Source organism: Homo sapiens, chromosome X, assembly GCF_000001405.40.
Source record: "Homo sapiens chromosome X, GRCh38.p14 Primary Assembly".
In the NCBI taxonomy this organism is placed as follows: domain Eukaryota; kingdom Metazoa; phylum Chordata; class Mammalia; order Primates; family Hominidae; genus Homo; species Homo sapiens.
The window spans coordinates 76,505,237-76,523,077 of NC_000023.11; positions in this window are offsets into that span (position 1 = coordinate 76,505,237).

Genomic DNA, 17,841 nt, shown 5'->3' on the forward strand with positions numbered 1-17,841 from the left:
GGTTGGCCTCTTGCCAGGAGGTGGCACTTCAGAGAGCATCAGCTGTGGTAGTATTAAAAGGATCCCACAGTGAGTGGGGCCCTAGAACTCCCAAGATTATGTGCCCTTTGTCTTATGCTACCAAGGTGGGTAGGGAAGGACCATTGGTTGGGGCCAAGGCTAGGCATGTCTGTGCTCAGGCTCTCCTTTGGTGGGTCTTGCTGTAGCTGCCGTGGAAGATGGGGCTGAGATTCCCAGATCACTGGAGTTCTGTAGCTAGGAGGATTATGGCTGCCTCTGCTGAGTCATGCAGGTTGTCAGGGTAGTGGGGGAAAGCCAGCAGTCACAGGCCTCACCCAGCTCCCACACATACCAAAGAGCCAGTCTCACTCCTACCATGCGCCCCCAAGAGCGCTGAGTCTGATCCCAGGAAGTGGGCAACCTGGGCTTGAAAATTTGCCCCACTTACCTGCCTCCCAGCTGCAAAGGAAAAGGGCTTGGTTCTTCCCCAACCAGTGGAGTTTGCACGTCAGATCCACACACTCCCCTGAGTTCTAGCAAGGAGGCTTCTCTCCCCATTCAAACTGTTACAAAGTTGAGCTGGAGATTTTCTTCTCCCTATGGAGTTGCCCCCAACCCCCACCCCCACCCCCACCCCTGGCTCCTCTGTCCGGTCTCCCAGTGGATCCCTCTGGTACTAGGCAGGAATTTACTGCTTGGGGACCCAGCGAGCTCCCAGGACCTTTCTGCTGCTCCTTCTACTCCTGTACTTTTCTCTGATCTCTAAATTGATTTAGCTCCAGATAATGTCAGAAACTTCTCCTATAAACAGACTTTCAGTTTCTCCAGTGTGGGAGTGTCTTCAGGAGAGGAGGATCTCCCTTTCCCAGTACTGCTGTTGGGGCACTCACAGTATTTGGGGTGTCTCCCAGATCCTGTAGAAGCAGTCCACTTCCTTCATAGGGTCTGTGGGTCCTCTTGTGATTGCTGGTTTGTCTTGCAGTCAATCTGGAGCTAGAGTTCTTAATGTGAGCCTCTGAATGCTGCTCTGTCCATCTGAGTCAGAGCTGCAATCTAGTCCTGCCTCCCGTCCGCCATGATGAACCCTCTTTCTCCCCAGTCCAATGGAGTTATTTTCCCAGGGGGATTATGGGAGCCTCTGCTGCGTCAGACAGGCTGCCAAGAAAGTGGAAGAAAGCCAACAGTCACAGGCCTCATCCCTCCCCCATGGAGCTCATAGTCCTAAAGGCCAGTGTCACTTCCACTGTGCCCCTTCTAACAGAACCAAGTCTATTTTCTGGCAGCCAGTGACCAGGGCTGATCCCTTGCCCCAAACCACGAGCATCCCCCTTGAGAAAGCAAGCAGATTCACAGTTTTTCAGCATCTCAGGGAGTCTGAAATGGTGATCCAATTTCTTCAAAGGGTCTGTGGTTTTTCTCGGCTTTCCTAGTATGTTCCTTTGGTAGTTCTTGAAAAAAAAGTTCACAATATGCATCTCCACACACTCCTCTGTCTGTTTGAGTGGGAGCTGCAAGCTAGTTCTTCCTCCTATTGCCATTTTAACCTTCACCTTTTCCTGGCTTATTTTAATACTGGTAGATGTTTTTCTGTGTATGAGCATTGAAGAGTTAGGTTTTTATTGTACTCTTTACAATCTGGGCTTATTTGTACTTGTCCTCTTTGGGGAGGCTTTCCAAATATTCAGAAAGATTTAGGTGTGCTGATCTAGGCTGTATATGCTTTAGGGGAGAGTGCAAGCTCAGTAGTTCTGTGATTCTTGCAGACCTATAGAGGTACTGTCTTTATGGTCTTGGACAAGATCCAGAAGAATTCTCTAAATTATCAGGCAAAAAATGTTGTTCTGTTTTCTTATTTCCTCTCAAAATCACAGAGTTTCTCTCATTGCTCTGAGCCATGTAGAAATTGGGATGGATTGACACAAGCACCCCAGTGGCCACTACCCCTTAAACTGCACTGGGTCAGACCTGAAGCCAGCACTGTATTGGAACTCACTCAAGGCCTGCTGTAACCACTCTCTGGCTACTTTGTATGTTCGCTCAACACCCTGGGGCTTTACAATCAGTAGGCAGACAAACCAGCAAGGTATGTGTCCTTCCTTTCAGGGTGGCCAGTATCCCCAGGCCCCAGTTAGGCCCAGAGGTATTGTCTGGGAGCCAGTGATGAGAGTCAAAAACCTTAGAAGTCTACCTGGTGTCCTAATGCTGACATTTTCTTAATTCCCACGGACTCTTCAGTCAGCTTGTAGTAAATGCTGGCTGGCCTGGGACTCACCCTTCATGCGAGTGGGCTCCCCTCTCTCCCAGGATAGGTCCAGAAATGCCATCAAAGATTCAAGCTCAGGAATTGAAGACCTTAAGAACCTGTTTGATTCTCTACCATCTGTGGCCAAGCTGGTACCTATGGTGCAAGACAAAGTCCTCTTTACTTTTCCCTCTGCTTTTCTCAAGCAGTAGTAGACTCACCCCATAGCCACTACAGCTGGGAATGTGCTAAGTCTTCCCTGAAGCTAGCAAGTCTAAGAAGCTAACTCAAGGCTCTTGATGTATTACCTGGGTATCACTGTTGACTATTCAGGATCCAAGGGCTTTTCAGTTAGCAGGTGATAAATGCTGCCAGGACTGGCTCCTTTTCTTCAAGGCTGCAGGTTCTCTTCTGGCTCAGAATGTATCTGGAAATGTTCAGCAGTTGAAAAGGGGTCTGATGACTCTGACTGGTGCCCTGTCTTACTGTGGTTGAGCTGGTATCCAAGATGCAAGACAAAGTATGTCCCACTTTTCTGTCTTCTCTCCTCACGTGAAAGGAAGGGGTCTTTTTGGGAGCCATGAGCTGTGCAGCCTGGAGTTAAGAGAGTGGTGATGTCAGCTCTCCCTTCGCCTTCCTGACTGATGTCTCAGGTCACATGCCATCCCAGTCCATTGTCTCTTGGCCCAGTTCAGCCCTAGGACTCACCCAGGTGTGACAGTCCTTGTGGCCTAGACTGCCTTTCAAGTATGTTTGAGGACCCAGAGCACGTTAGCCCATGCTGGTGAGGCTTGTGGGAATACAAATTCTGACCACTAGGATTGGTGATTCTTCTCTGGCTAGGGCTAGTTTAAATGCACTCTCTGTGGCAGACATCAACTGAGTTTGGTCTTGTTTCGATTTCTTTTATGACAAGAATAGCACCGAGTTCAATGTCTCACAATTGCTAGTTTCCCCCCTACTCTCCAGCAAACAGAAGCACTCTCCACATCATTCTGCCTCTTCAAGGAAATAAAAAGAGGCGGTGTCCGCGATTCAAAACTATTTTTCTACCATTTTAGTACCTCTTTCAATGATATAAAGTAAAAATCAAGTACTGAGCATAATTACTTGATTTGTGGTTTTTACAAAGGTCTTTTTTTGTCTGTAGATAGTTGCTAAATTGGTGTCCTTGCATGGAGAAAAATAGATAGATTGTATCTTTGTTTTCATTAGTTTCAAAGAACTTCTTGAGTTCTGCCTTAATTCTATTACTTACCCAAAATTTGTTCAGAAGCCAGTGGTTTAATTTTCATGTAATTGTATGGTTTTTAGCAATTTTCTTAGTCTTCAATTCTATTATTATTGTGCTGTGGTCCAATAGAGTGGGTGGTATAATTTTTTTTTTTTTTTTTGCATTTGCTGAGAATTGTTTTAGGCCCATTCATGTAGTTGATTTTAGAGTATGTGCCATGTGCAGATGAGGAAAATGTATGTTCTATTGTTCTGGGGAAGAGAGTCCTGTAGATGTCTATCAGATCCATTCGGTCCAGTGTTAAGTTCAGATTCTGAATGTCTTTGTCAATTTTCTGCCTTGGTGATAAGTCTCATACAGTCAGTGGGGTGTTGAAGTCTCCCATTATTATTGTGTGAAAGTTTGTGTCTCTTTGAAGATCTCTAGGAACTTGCTTTATGAATCTTCATGCTCCTGTGTTGGATGCATATACATTTAGGATAGTTAGGTGTTCTTTTTGAATTGAAACTTTTACCATTATGTAATGCCCTTGTTTGTCTTTTAAAATTTTTGTTGGTTTAATATCTGTTTTGTCTAAAATTAGAATTTCAGCCTCTGCTTTTTTTCTGTTTTCCATTTGCTTAATAAATTTTTCTTCATTCCCTTATTTTTAGCCTATGGGTGTCATTGGATGTGAGATTCATCTCTTGAACACTGTACTACTGGTTCTTGCTTTTTTACTCAGCTTGTCACTCTGTGTCTTTCAATTGGGCATTCAAGGCTAGTGTTGATATGTGTGAATTTGTTTCTGTCATCATGTTATTAGTTGTTTATTATGCTGACTTGTTTGTGTGGTTTCTTTATAGTGTTACTGGTCTGTGCACTTAAGTGTGTTTTTTTAGTAGCAATATTTTCTTTTCATATGTAGTGCTTTATGCGAGGTATTTTGCAAGGATTTTCTGAATTTTCTGAATTTTTATGTGGGCTAAACTAGAAAAGTTTACACAAAAGATATCCTGAACTATGTTTCCAAGTTTATTCCATTATCTCCATTTCTTTCAGATATACCAAGGAGTAGTAGATTGGGTCTTTCTCCATAATCCCATATTTCTCAAAAATTTTATTTGTTCCTTTTAATTCTTTTTTAGTTATTCTTTTCTGACTATCCTATTTCAGAAAGCCAGTCTTCAATCTCAGATTACATCCTCAGCTTGGCCTATTCTGCTATTAATACTTCTGCTTGTACTGTGTGTTCTCACTTATAAGTGGGAGCTGAATGATGAGGACACATGGACACATGATGGGGCCTACAACACATATTGGGGCCTGTCAGAGATTGAGGTGTAGGAGGAGGGAGAGCATCAGGAAGATGCTGGGCTTAATACCAAATAGATTCTGGGTCTAACACCTGGGTGATGGGATAATCTGTGCAGCAAACCATCATGACACATTTATCTATGGAACAAACCTGCACATCCTGCAAATGTACCCCTGAACTTAAAATGAAAGATGGAAATAAAAGAAAAAGTACTCTCAATTGTATTATAAAATTCTTTTGGAGTATTTTTCAGCTCGGTCTGATCAGTTACATTCTTTCTATACTGGCTATTTTTTCAGCTCTTCTACCATTTTATTGTGATCCTTAGCTTCTGTAGATTCTATTTCAATTTTCTCCTTAATCTTGATTATCTTTCCTATACATTTTCTGAATTCTATTTCTGTCATTTAAGCTGTCTCAGCCCAGTTAAGAACTCTTTCTGGAAAATTAGTGTGGTCATTTGGAAGAAATAAGACACTTTGGCTTTTTGAATTGACATTTCTTATACTGGTTCTTCTCATCTTTTGGGGCTGATGTTCCTTCAGCCTTTGAAGTTTCTGTCTTTTGCATAACACAAAAGAAAGCTACAGACCAATATTCCTGATGAACATAAATGCAAAAATTCTCAATAAAATACTAGCTAACAAAATCCAAGAGTATATCAAAAAGGGAATACATCATAAACAAGTGAGTTCCATCCTAGGGATGCAGGGATGCTTTAACATACAGGTCAGTATATATGATACATCACAAAAACAGAATTAAAAACAAAAATCATGTGATCATCTAAATAGATATGGAAAAATCATATGATAAAATTCATCATCACTTTATGATTAAAACCCCAACAAAATAAGCATAGAAGAGACTTACCTGAAAGTAACAAAAGCCATATATTACAAACCCACAGCCAACATTATACTAAATGGGGAAAAGTGGAAATTATTCTTCCTGAGAAATGGAACAAGACAAGAATGATAACTTTCACCATTTTTATTAAACATAGTACTGGAAATCCTTTTCAGAGCAATCAGACAAGAGAAAGAAATGAAGGGAATCAAAATTAGAAAATAGAAAATCAAACTATCACTGTTCACAGTTGAAATGATTGTATACCTAGAAAATCCTAAAGACTCCACCAACGGACAATTAGATTTGATTAACAAATTCAGTAGAGTCTCAGGTTACAAAATCAGTGTACACAAATCAGTAGCACTGCTATACACCAACAAAGACTAAGCCGAAAATCAAATCAAGAACTCAATCTATTTACAACAGCTACAAAAAATACCTAGGGATATAACTTAACCAAGGAGGTGACAGATCTCTGCAAGGAAAACTACAAAACACTGCTAAAAAAATTTTATAGATGACAAAAGCAAATGGAAACACATTCCATGCTCATGGATGGAAAGAATCAATATTGTGAAAATAACCATATTGCCCAAAGCAACCTACAGAGTCAATGCAATTCTTATCAGAATACTATCATCATTCTTCACAGAACTAGAAAAAAAATCTTAAAATTCATATGTATCCAAAAAAGGAACCCATATAGCTAAACTAAGACTAAGTAAACAGAAAAATCTGGAGGTATCCCATTACCTTACTTGAAATTATACTAGATGGCTATGGTTACCAAAACAGCATGATACCGGTATAAAAATAGTCACTTAGGCTAATTAAGCAGAATAGAGAATCCAGAAATAAAGCCAAATACTTACAGTCAACTGATCTTTGACACAGCATACAAAAATATAAATTGAGGAAAGAACACGCCATTCAATAAATGGTGCTGGGAATACTGGTAAGCCACATGTAGTAGAATAAAACTGGATTCTCATCTGTGATGGTTAATATTGAGTGTCAACTTCATTGGATTGAAGGATGCGAAGTATTATTCTTGGGCATGTCCATGAGGGTGTTGTGAAAGTAGATTAACGTTTGAGTTAGTGGACTAAAAAAGGCATACCCACCCTCAATCTGGGTGGGCACAATCTAATCATCTGCCAACGCAGCCAGCATAAAAGCAGGCAGAAGAATGTGGAAAGATGAGACTGGTTTAGTCTTCTGGACTGCATTTTTCTCCCGTGCTGGATGCTTCCTGCCCTTGAACATCACATTCCAAGTTAGCTTTGGGGCTTGGACTGGCTTCATTGCTCTTCAACTTGCCGACAGCCTATTGTGGGACCTTACCTTGTCATTTTGTGAATTAATACTTCTTACCAATCTCCCCTTTATATATACATCTATCCTATTAGTTATGTTCCTCTAGAAAACCCTGACTAATACAGATTTTCATACCAGGAGTGGTTCTAGAGAAACAAAATATTAAGGATGGAGTTATTTAGTCAGTTTTGGGGTTTCTGGATTTGGCTACTTAATATGATTAGACCCCAAAATGCTAAGGGCTCTACTTCTAATAGTATGGAGAAAACTGATAATCCATGGTATGAACTATTTAGACAGTTGTGCAAAATAAATCCATTTGCTAATCTTGATAAACTGCTCTTGAGAGGCAAGGAGTTTAGTGACTCTATACATAATACCTTTGACCATATGTGGAGATCCAAGGAATATAATGAAGTTGGTTGGTTGCTCCTAAGTTCTCTGGACAAAGTGATGAGAGAAAATAATGAATTCAGAAATTCTAACTCCTGGCTTTAGAAGCAGATACTGAGCCTCTAATCTTCTAAGATTGCCCTGAGTGAGAGTCTTATCACCTGTAGAGAAATAGCTGAAATTGTGGAAAATCAGACACAAGTTCTTATCATGTGAGTGGCTGACCTACAACAAAAGTACACACACAGCTTCACCAGGTGTCCATTGTAAAAATGAGGTCATTGATTGGAAAAAGAATGGGACCCTCCAACTTTGAATGGGGATGTGTGGGAGGACCTTAATAAAGCTGGGGACACTGAGCTTGTGAACTTTGATGAGCCTTTTTTGCCAGAAGAAACAGCTTTTCCATACTCTGTAGTGGAAACATCCTCTCCCCAAGACACGTTGCCATCAGCCTTTATTCCTTTGTCTGAAGAGATAAATTCTGTGCTGTTTGAGGCAAGAGTGATGGCCTCCCCTAAGTCCGTTGCCAGGCAAGACAATGTTGATTCTTCTCAGGAGCCACTCCCAACCCTCCTGTTTGCTCCTAGACCTATTACTAGACTCAAGTCCCTGCAGGCACCTAGAGGGGAGGTTCAGAGTGTGACCCATGAGGAGGTGTGCCATACTCCAGGAGAACTGCTTGAGTTTTCTAATTTATATAAGCAAAAATCTGGATAACAGGCATGGAAATGGATGTTAAGGGTATGGGATAATGGTGGAAGGAACACAGAGTTGGATCAGTCTGAATTTACTGATTTGAGCCTACTAAGCAAGGATTCTGCATTTAATCTTGCAGCTCAGGGAGTTACAAAAGATTCTAATAGTTTATATGCTTGGTTAGCAGAAATATGGATTAAAATATGGCCCACTGTGAGCAATCTGGAAATGCCTGATCTCCTTTATTTTAATGTAGAGGAAGGGATCCAAAAGCATAGGGAGATTGGATGCTGGAGTGGATTAGTCACTTTAGACCTACTCATCCCAGCTGTGAGGGTTCAGAAGATATACCCTTGATGAATACTTTGCAAAATAAGTTTGTGAGGACAGCACCTGCAACCTTGAAGAGCTCTGTTATTGCTCTTCTCTGTATATCAGATATTACAGTAGGAACTGCAGCCACTCAATTATGAAATTTAAATGCAATGGGAATAATTGGATCCCAAGGTGGCAGTGGCAAAGTGGCAGCACTCACTCATCAAAGGCAATGTGGGTTAAGTTACCATAACAGACAGCAGATACAAAGCAGCAATCAGAATAGTCTGACTCATGTAGAGCTCTGACATTGACTAATTAACCACGAAGTCCCTAGAAGTGAAATTGATAGGAAGCCTACTGCATTCTTAATTTATATAACCAGAAAACTTCCAGGTCGAGTGGACAAAAACCTAATTTGAATTGTAAACACAAAATCACGGTCCCTCAATCAATTTCCAGACTTGAGCCAGTTTGAACCCCTTGAATGAAGGGGAGGCTGGGTCCGTTTGAGGAAGAATCCCACTACACTACCAACAATGTAATGCTATTAATCTTTCTACCATCCTTCCCCAAGGAGACCGTCAGCCTTTTACCAGGGTAACTGCATTGGGGAAAAGAAAATTATCAGAACCGTCAGGGACTACTAAACACTGACTCTCAGCTGACATCAATGCCAGGGGACCCAAAATGTCACTGTGGTCCTCCAGTTAAAGTAGGGGCTTAAGGAAGTCAGGTAATTAATGATGTTTCAGCTCAAATCCCACTTACAGTGGGTCCAGTGGGTTTCCAGACTCATCCTGTGGTCATTTCCCCAGTGCCAGAATGCATAATTGGCATAGACATATTTAGCAGCTGGTGGAGCCCCCACTTTGGCTTCCTGACTGGTAGGATTAGGGATATCATGGTGGGAAAGGCCAAATGGAAGCAATTAGAGCTGCCTCTACCTAGAAAAAAAATAGTAAATAAAAAACAATATTGCATCCCTAGAGGGATTTCAGAGATTAGTGCCACCATAAAAGACTTGGAAGACTCAGAGGTGGTGATTCCCACCACATTCCTATTCAAATCTTCTATTTGGCCTGTGCAGAAGACAGATGGATCTTGGAGAATGAAAGTGGATTATCATAAGCTTAACCAAATGGTGACTCAAATTGCAGCTGCTGTACCAAAAATGGTTTCATTGCTTGAGCAAATTAACACATTTCCTGGAACCTGGTAAGCAGCTATTAATTTGGCAAATGCATTTTTCTCCATTTCTATCCATAAAGCCTACCAGAAGCAATTTGCCTTCAGCTGGCAAGACTAGCAATATACCTTCATTGTCCTATCTCAGGGATATATCAACTCTCCAGCTTTGTGTCATAATCTTATTTGGAGAAACCTTGATCACTTTTTCCTTTCACAAGACATCACAATGGTCCATTACATTGGTGACACTATGCTGATTGGATCCAGTGAGCAAGAAGTAGCAAACACATTGGACTTATTAGTGAAACATTTGCATGCCAGAGGATGGTAAATAAATGCAACTAAAGTTCAGGGACCTTCTACCTCAGTATAATTTCTAGGGGTTCAGTGGTGTGGGGACTGTTGAGATATTCTTTCTAAGGTGAAGAATAAGTTGATGCACTTGGCCTCTCCTACAGCCAAGAAAGAGACACAATGTCTAGTCAGGCTATTTGGATTTTGGAGGCAACACATTTCTCATCTGAGTGTGTTACTTTGGTCCATTTATTGAGTGACCCAAAAGGCTGCCAGTTTTGAATGGGGTTCAGAACAGGAGAAGGCTCTGCAGTAGATCCAGGCTGCTGTGCAAGCTGCTCTGCCACTTGGGCCATATGAGCCGGCAGATTCAATGGTGCTTGAGGTGTCAGTGGCAGATGAAAATGCTGTTTGGAGCCTTTGGCAGGCCCATTGGTGAATCACAGTGGAGGCCTTTAGGATTTTGATGCAAGGCCCTGCCATCTTCTGCAGATAACTACTCTCCTTTTCAGAAACAGCTCTTGGCATGTTACTGGGCTTTAGTAAAAACTGAACGTTTGACTATGTGTGATTAAGTCATCGTGTGACCTGAACTGCCTATATGAACTGGGTTCTTTCTGACCCATCTAGCCATAACGTGGGCATGCACAGCCGCATTCCATTATCAAGTGGAAGTGGTCTATATGTGATCGGGCTCAAGCAGGTCCTGAAGGCACAAGAAACTTACATGAGGAAGTGGCTCAAATGCCCATGGTTTCCACTCCTGGTACCCTGCCTTCTCTCCACCAGCCTACACTGAAAGCCTCACGGGGAGTTCCCTGTGATATGTTGATAGAGGAAGAGAAGGCAAGGGCCTGGTTTTCAAATGGCTCTGTATGATATGCAGGCACCACCCAAAAGTGGACAGCTGCAGCACTACAGCCCCTTTCTAGGACATCCCTGAAAGACAATGGTGAAAGAAATCTTCCCAGTGGGCATAACTTCGAGCAGTGCAACTTGTTGTGCACTTTGCTTGGAAGGAGAAATGTCCAGATGTGCGATTATATACTGATTCATAGGCTCTAGCCAGTGGTTTGGCTAGATGGTCAGGGACTTGGAAGAAGAATAATGAGAAAATTGGTGACACAGAAATTTAGGGAAGAGGTATGTCGATGGATCTCTCTGAGTGGTCAAAAACTGTGAAGATATTTGTATCTCATGTGAGTGCTCACCAAAGGGTGACTTCAGCAGAGGAGTATTTTAATAATCAAGTGGATAAGATGACTCATTCTGTGGACACAACTCAGCCTCTTTCCCCAGCCACCCCTGTCATCACTCAATGGCCCCATGAACAAAGAGACCATGATGGTAGGGATGGAGATTATGCAAGGGCTCAGCAACATGAACTTCCACTCACCAAGGCTGACCTGGTTACTGCCACTGCTGTGTGCCCAATTTGCCAGCAGCAGAGACCAACACTGAGCCCTCGATATGGCACCATTCCTCAGGGTGATCAGCCAGCTACTTGGTGGCAGGTTGATCATACTGGACTTCTTCCATTATGAAAAGGGCAGCAGTTTGTCCTCACTGGAATAGATACTTACTCCAGATACAGGTTTGCCTCTCCTGCACACAATACTTCTCCCAAGACTACCATCTGTGGACTCACGGAATGCCTCATCCACCGTCATGGAATTCCACATAGCATTGACTCTTACTAAGGCACTTACTTTATGGCTAAAGAGGGGCAGCACTGGGCTCATGCTCATGGAATTCACTGGTCTTATTATATTCCCCATCATCCTGAAGCAGCTGGATTGATAGAATGGTACAATGGCCTTTTGAAGTCACAATTACAATGCCAACTAGGTGGACAATACTTTGCAGAGCTAGGGCAAAGCTTTCCAGAAGGCTGTGTATGCTCTGGATCAGCATCCAATATATGGTACTCTTCCTCTCGTAGCTAGAATTCATGGATCCAGGAATCGAGGAGTGGAAGTGGATGTCACACCACTCACCATTACCCCTAGTGACCCACTAGAAAAGTTTTGCTTCCTGTTCCCACAACATTATGTCCTGCTGGCCTAGATGTCTTAGTTACAGAGGGAGGAACACTGCCACCAGGAGACACAACAACAATTCCATTAAGCTGGAAGCTAAGACTGCCACCTGGCCACTTTGGGCCCCTCTTACCTCTAAGTCAAGAGACAGAGACTAAGAAGGGGGTTACAGTGTCACCTGGGGTGATTTACCTGGACTATCAAGATGAAATTAGTCTACTACTCCACAACAGAGGCAAGGGAGAGTATGCATATTATAGAGGAGATCTCTTAGGGCATTTCTTAGTATTACTATGCCCTGTGATCAAGGTCTATGGGAAACTACAACAGGCCAGTCCAGGCAATACTACAAATGGTCCAGACCCTTCAGGAATGAAGGTTTAGTTCACTACACTACAAAAAACAAACAAACAAAACAAAAAAAAAACCGACCTGCTGAGGTGCTTGCTGAAGGCAAAGGTAATACAGAATGTGTAGTAGAAGAAGGCAGTCATCAATACCAGCTACAATCACGTGACCAGTTGCAGAAACGAGAACTAATTGTCATGAGTATTTCCTCCTCTTTTTGTTAAGAACATATTTGTGCATGTATGCACTTGTACTAAGAAAATATCATTTTATTTGCTTTCTTTTTTCTTTATCACGTGACATGAGATTTATTGACTTCATATCAGCAATTGAGTGTTATTAACTTTATGTAATAGCATTTGGGTTGGGGACTGGTGCATTTCCAGTTGTACAAAAATAGCTGTAGTATGTTAGCCATAATTACAACCTTATTATTTTCTTTATTAGAAGATTATGTCTGATTTCAGGAGATGTGTATGGGTTCGAGTTGACAAGGGATGGACTTGTGATGGTTAATATTGAGTGTCTACTTGATTAGATTGAAGGATGCAAAGTATAGTGCTTGGGTGTGTCTCTGAGGGTGTTGCCAAAGGAGATTAACATTTGAGTCAGTGGATTGGGAAAGGAAGGCCCACCCTCAATCTGGGTGGGCAGAGTCTAATCAGCTGCCAGCATAGCCAGAATAAAAGCAGGCAGAAGAATGTGGAAAGACTAGACTGGTTTAGTCCTCTGGCCTACATCTTTCTCCCGTGCTGGATGCTTTCTGCCCTGGAATATCACACTCCAATATTTCTGCTTTGGGACATGGGCTGGCTTCCTTGCTCCTCAGCTTGTAGAAGGCCCATTGTGGAACCTCACCCTGTGATTGAGTGAGTCAATACTCCTTAATAAACTTCCCTTTATATATACATCTATCCTATTTGTTCTGTCCCTCTAGAGAACCCTGACTAATACACCATCTCTCACTTTATACAAAAATCGTCTCACGATGGATCAAAGACTTAAACCTAAAACCTAAAATCATAAAAATTCTAGAACACAACATTAGAAAAACTCTTCTAGACATTAGCTTAAGCATAGAATTCATGACTAAGGCCCCTAAAACAAATGTAACAAAAACAAAAATAAATAAATGTTACCTAACTAAACTAAAAATCTTCTGCATAGTAAAAGAAATTATCAGCAGAGTAAAGAGACAACCCACAAGATATGAGAAAATATTCTCAACCTATGCATCCAACAAAAGATTAGTATCCAGAATCTACAAGAAACTCAAAAAAATCAGCAAACAACAAACCAGTCTTACCAAAAAGTGGACCAAAGAAATGAACAGGCATTTCCCCAAAGAAGATATACAAACAGCCAACAAACATACAAAAAAAAAAAATACTTCACAACACTAATCATCAGGAAAATGCAAATTAAAATCACAAGGAGATACCATTTTACTCCTTAAGAATGACTGTAATTAAAGTCAACAAACAATAGATGTTGGCATGGATGTGCGGAAAAGGGAACACATATATACTGCTGGTAGAAATTTAAATTACTACATAGTAATTACCATTACTATGGAAAACAGTATGGAGATTCCTTAAAGAACTAAAAGTAGACCTATTCGGTCCAGCAATCCCACTACTGGATATCTTCCTGAAGAAAAAGAAGTCATTATATGAAGAAAAAAAAAAACACATGTTTAGAGCAGAAAAATTTACAAGAGCATAGATATGGAACCAACCAAATGCCCATCAACCAACAAGTAGATAAAAATAAATGTGGTATATATACACCATGGAATACTACTCAGTCGGGAAAAGGAATACAATAATGTCTTTTGCCACAAGTTGGGTGCTGCTGGAGGCCATTATTCTTAGTGGAGCATGGCCAGGGACGCCCATCCCCCTAGACTCACTCAGAAAAAGGAACAAAATAATGTTTTTTGCAGCAACTTGGGTGCTGCTGGAGGCTATTATTCTGTAGTGGAGCACAACCAGGGATGGCCATCCCCCTAGGCTCAACTTACTCCCATAGAAGACTTTAGACCTAGGAGAACTATAGGGCCTGAACTCTGCAGGGTCGGTTTGACATGAGCACCCCTCGGTCTACTGGCTTCTCCTGGGGCCTGGCTGTGTCCACTGAGGTGAAGTAACTCGGGAATGGAAAACCAAATATTGCATGTTCTCACTTAGAAGTGGGAGCTAAGCTATAAGAATGCAAAGGCTAACAATGATATAATGTACTCAGAGGGTGGTGAAGGTCGGGAGAGGAGTGAGAGACGAAAGACTACATATTGGGTACAGTGTACACTGCTTGAGTGACTGGTGCACTAAAATTTAAGAAATCACCACAGAAGAACTTATCCATGTAACCAAAAACCACCTGTACCCCAAAACCTATTAAAATAAGAAAAAAATATATTTTTTAAAATTTTATCTTATTTGATGTCCTTGGTGTTTTGATTGTGGTGTAAGTGGATTCGGTTTACTGGCTTTTTTCCTGAAAGATTTTAGGAGACCAAGGCTCAGCTCAGGACTACTGGACTGTGTGTTCTAACTCTGGGGGACTGGTATCTGGTCCTGGCTTTGATCTGTCTTATCGAGGTTAGAAACATGCTGTGCTGGAGGGGCCAAGGTGCTCCAGGACCACTGGTCACAACACTGATGAGTGGTGCCAGCCAAAGCACTTCGTGGGCAGTGGCAGCAGGAATTGTCCTCGCTCGCACATGCCGGCAGCAGCAGCAGATGCAGCATTGCTGGGTGTACGCTCCTTGGCTGCAGCAGGATATTAGCAGGTGCTAGGGTGCGAACCTCTGTGTGAGCACTGGAAACAGTGGCCAAGGCAGTACAGCTTGGGGGCTGGGAGGCTTCCCCTGGTGACTGTGCACGCGTTAATGCCAGTGGTGGTGTTAGCATGTGGACCGGGTTCTGTTGGGTGCAGGATTCGGTGAGCCCTCTGTGCACCCTCACGCTGGTGGTGGTCACTGCTCCCGCCTAGGGGCAGGTCCCCTGATTTCCAAGCCTAGTTTCCTGCTGGAGGCAGTGTTAGCAGAATGCTGGCGCGGGCAGATCTGGCGGCTCCATACCTGCCACTGCTCAAACGACAATGGTGGTGTGATGAGGGGAGTTGGCGGAGGTGCGCTCATGCCCATAGCAATGGCACGGCAGAGTGCATGCGCACACGCGTGCTAGCAGAGAAAGGAGGGCTTCGTGCCCCTATGCACACACGCACCAGCAAAGCGGTGTGGAGGGGTGGCCATGGGTGAGTGACTGCAGGCAAAGGGATACAGGGGAGTTTGCAATGGGGGAGGACGCAGACTAGCTGGTGCATGTCGGCTGGGGCCACTATGCTGGAGCACTCTGCCAGTCAGGCATGGTCTGCAAGTGCAGGAGGTATAATGTGAGCCCCCAGGAGGCACCTAGGGGCTACACTGCAAGCAGACACAGCCATGCTGGGGCCCCAGGAGCAGCCAGTAGACCGAGGGTCACTCATGTCACAGTGATCCTTTCTCATGATCAAAACCGCCCTGCAGACTTCAGGCCCTATAGTCCCCCAAGGGCTAAAGCCTCCTATGGGAGCAAGTTGAGTCTAGGGGGATGGGTGTCTCTGACCGTGCCCCACTAAGATATTCCTGCACCAAACCCTTATGGGCTCCACACTGGCTGGAGTTCTGCACCTACCACTTCTCTAAGCAGCTTTCTCTGACAACTTAAGTGTCTGTTGTAGTCGAGGGGTCTCCTCCTGATGAGGTTCCAGAGGCCCCTGGCAAGAGCAAGTTGCTCCTTGCATGTTAAGGTAACCCCTTGCACAGGAGTCATTGGGAGCCAAGAATGATTCCAAGTGTTGTGTAAGTCCCAGTAGGCCTTCCATCTTCCTCCCGCTTCATCTCAGACACTCTTTCTTTCATCCCTCTGCTCTCAATGCCTTCCCTCTGAAGATCTGCTAGGAATTATACAGTCTTCCCAATGTCATAGGAGATGTTACCCCTGGTTGCCTCTCGTCAGCCATCTTGGGCAGAAATATTTAAGCTATTATAGACTATGGTCACCCTGTTGTCTTGAATTCTATTTTTGTCTTTATAGTAGAATGATTTATATTCCTTTGGGTATATGCCCAGTAGTGGGATTGCTGGGTCAAATGGTATTTCTGGTTCTAGATCCTTGAGGAATTGTCGCACTGTCATCCACAGTGTTTGAACCAATTTACATTCCCACCAACATTGTAAAAGCATTCCTATTTCTCCACAGTCTCACCAGCATCTATTGTTTCCTGACATTTTAATAATCGCCATTCTGACAGCGTGAGATGGTATCTCATTGTGGTTTTGATTTGCATTTCTCTAATGATCAGTGATGATGAGATTTTTTGTTCTTTTTTTTATTATACTTTAAGTTCTAGGGTACATGTACACAATGAGCAGGTTTGTTACATAGGTATACATGTTCCATGTTGGTTTGCTGCACCCATCAACTCATCATTTACATTAGGTATTTATCCTATTGCTATCCCTCCCCCAGACCCCCAACCCCTAACAGGCCCCAGTGTGTGATGTTCCTCTCCCTGTGTCCACGTGTTCTCATTGTTCAACTCCCACTTATGAGTGAGAACATGCGGTGTTTGGTTTTCTGTTTCTCTGTTAGGTTGCTGAGAATGATGGTTTCCAGCTTTACCCACGTCCCTGAAAAGGACATAAACTCATTCTTTTTATGGCTGCATAGTATTCCATGGTGTATATGTGCCAAATTCTCTTTATCCAGTATTTCATTGATGGGCATTTGAGTTGGTTCCAAGTCTTTGCTATTGTGAATAGTGCTGAAATAAACATACGTGTGCATGTATCTTTATAGTAGCATGATTTATAATCTTTGGGTATATACGCAGTAATGGGATTGTTGGGTCAAATTGTAGTTCTAGTTGTAGATCCTTAAGGGATCACCACACTGCCTTCCACAATGGTTGAACTAATTTACACTCCCACCAACAGTGTAAAAGCGTTCCTATTTCTCCACATCCTTTCCAGCATCTGTTGTTTCCTGACATTTTAATGATCGCCATTCTAACTGGTGTGAGATGGTATTACATTGTGGTTTTCATTTGCATTTTTCTGATGGCCAGTGATGATGAGCATTTTTTCATGTGTCTGTTGGCTGCATAAATGTCTTCTTTTGGGTAGTGTCTGTTTATATCCTTTGCCCACTTTTTGATGGGGTTGTTTATTTATTTATTTATTTATTTGTAAATTTGTTTAAGTTCTTTGTAGATTCTGGATATTAGCCCTTTGTCAGATGGATAGATTGCAAAAATTTTCTCCCAATTTGTAGGTTGTGTGTTCACTCTGATGATAGCTTCTTTTTCTGTGCAGAAGCTCCTTAGTTTAATTAGATCCCATTTGTCAATTTTGGCTTTTGTTGCCATTGGTTTTGGTGTTTTAGTCATGAAGTCTTTGCCCATGCCTATGTCCTGAATGGTATTGCCTAGGTTTTCTTCTAGGGTTTTTATGGTTTTAGGACTTACATTTAAGTCTTTAATCCATCTTGAGTTAATTTTTACATAAGGTGTAAAAAAGGGATCCAATTTCAGCTTTCTACTTCTGGCTAGCCACTTTTCCCAGCACCATTTATTA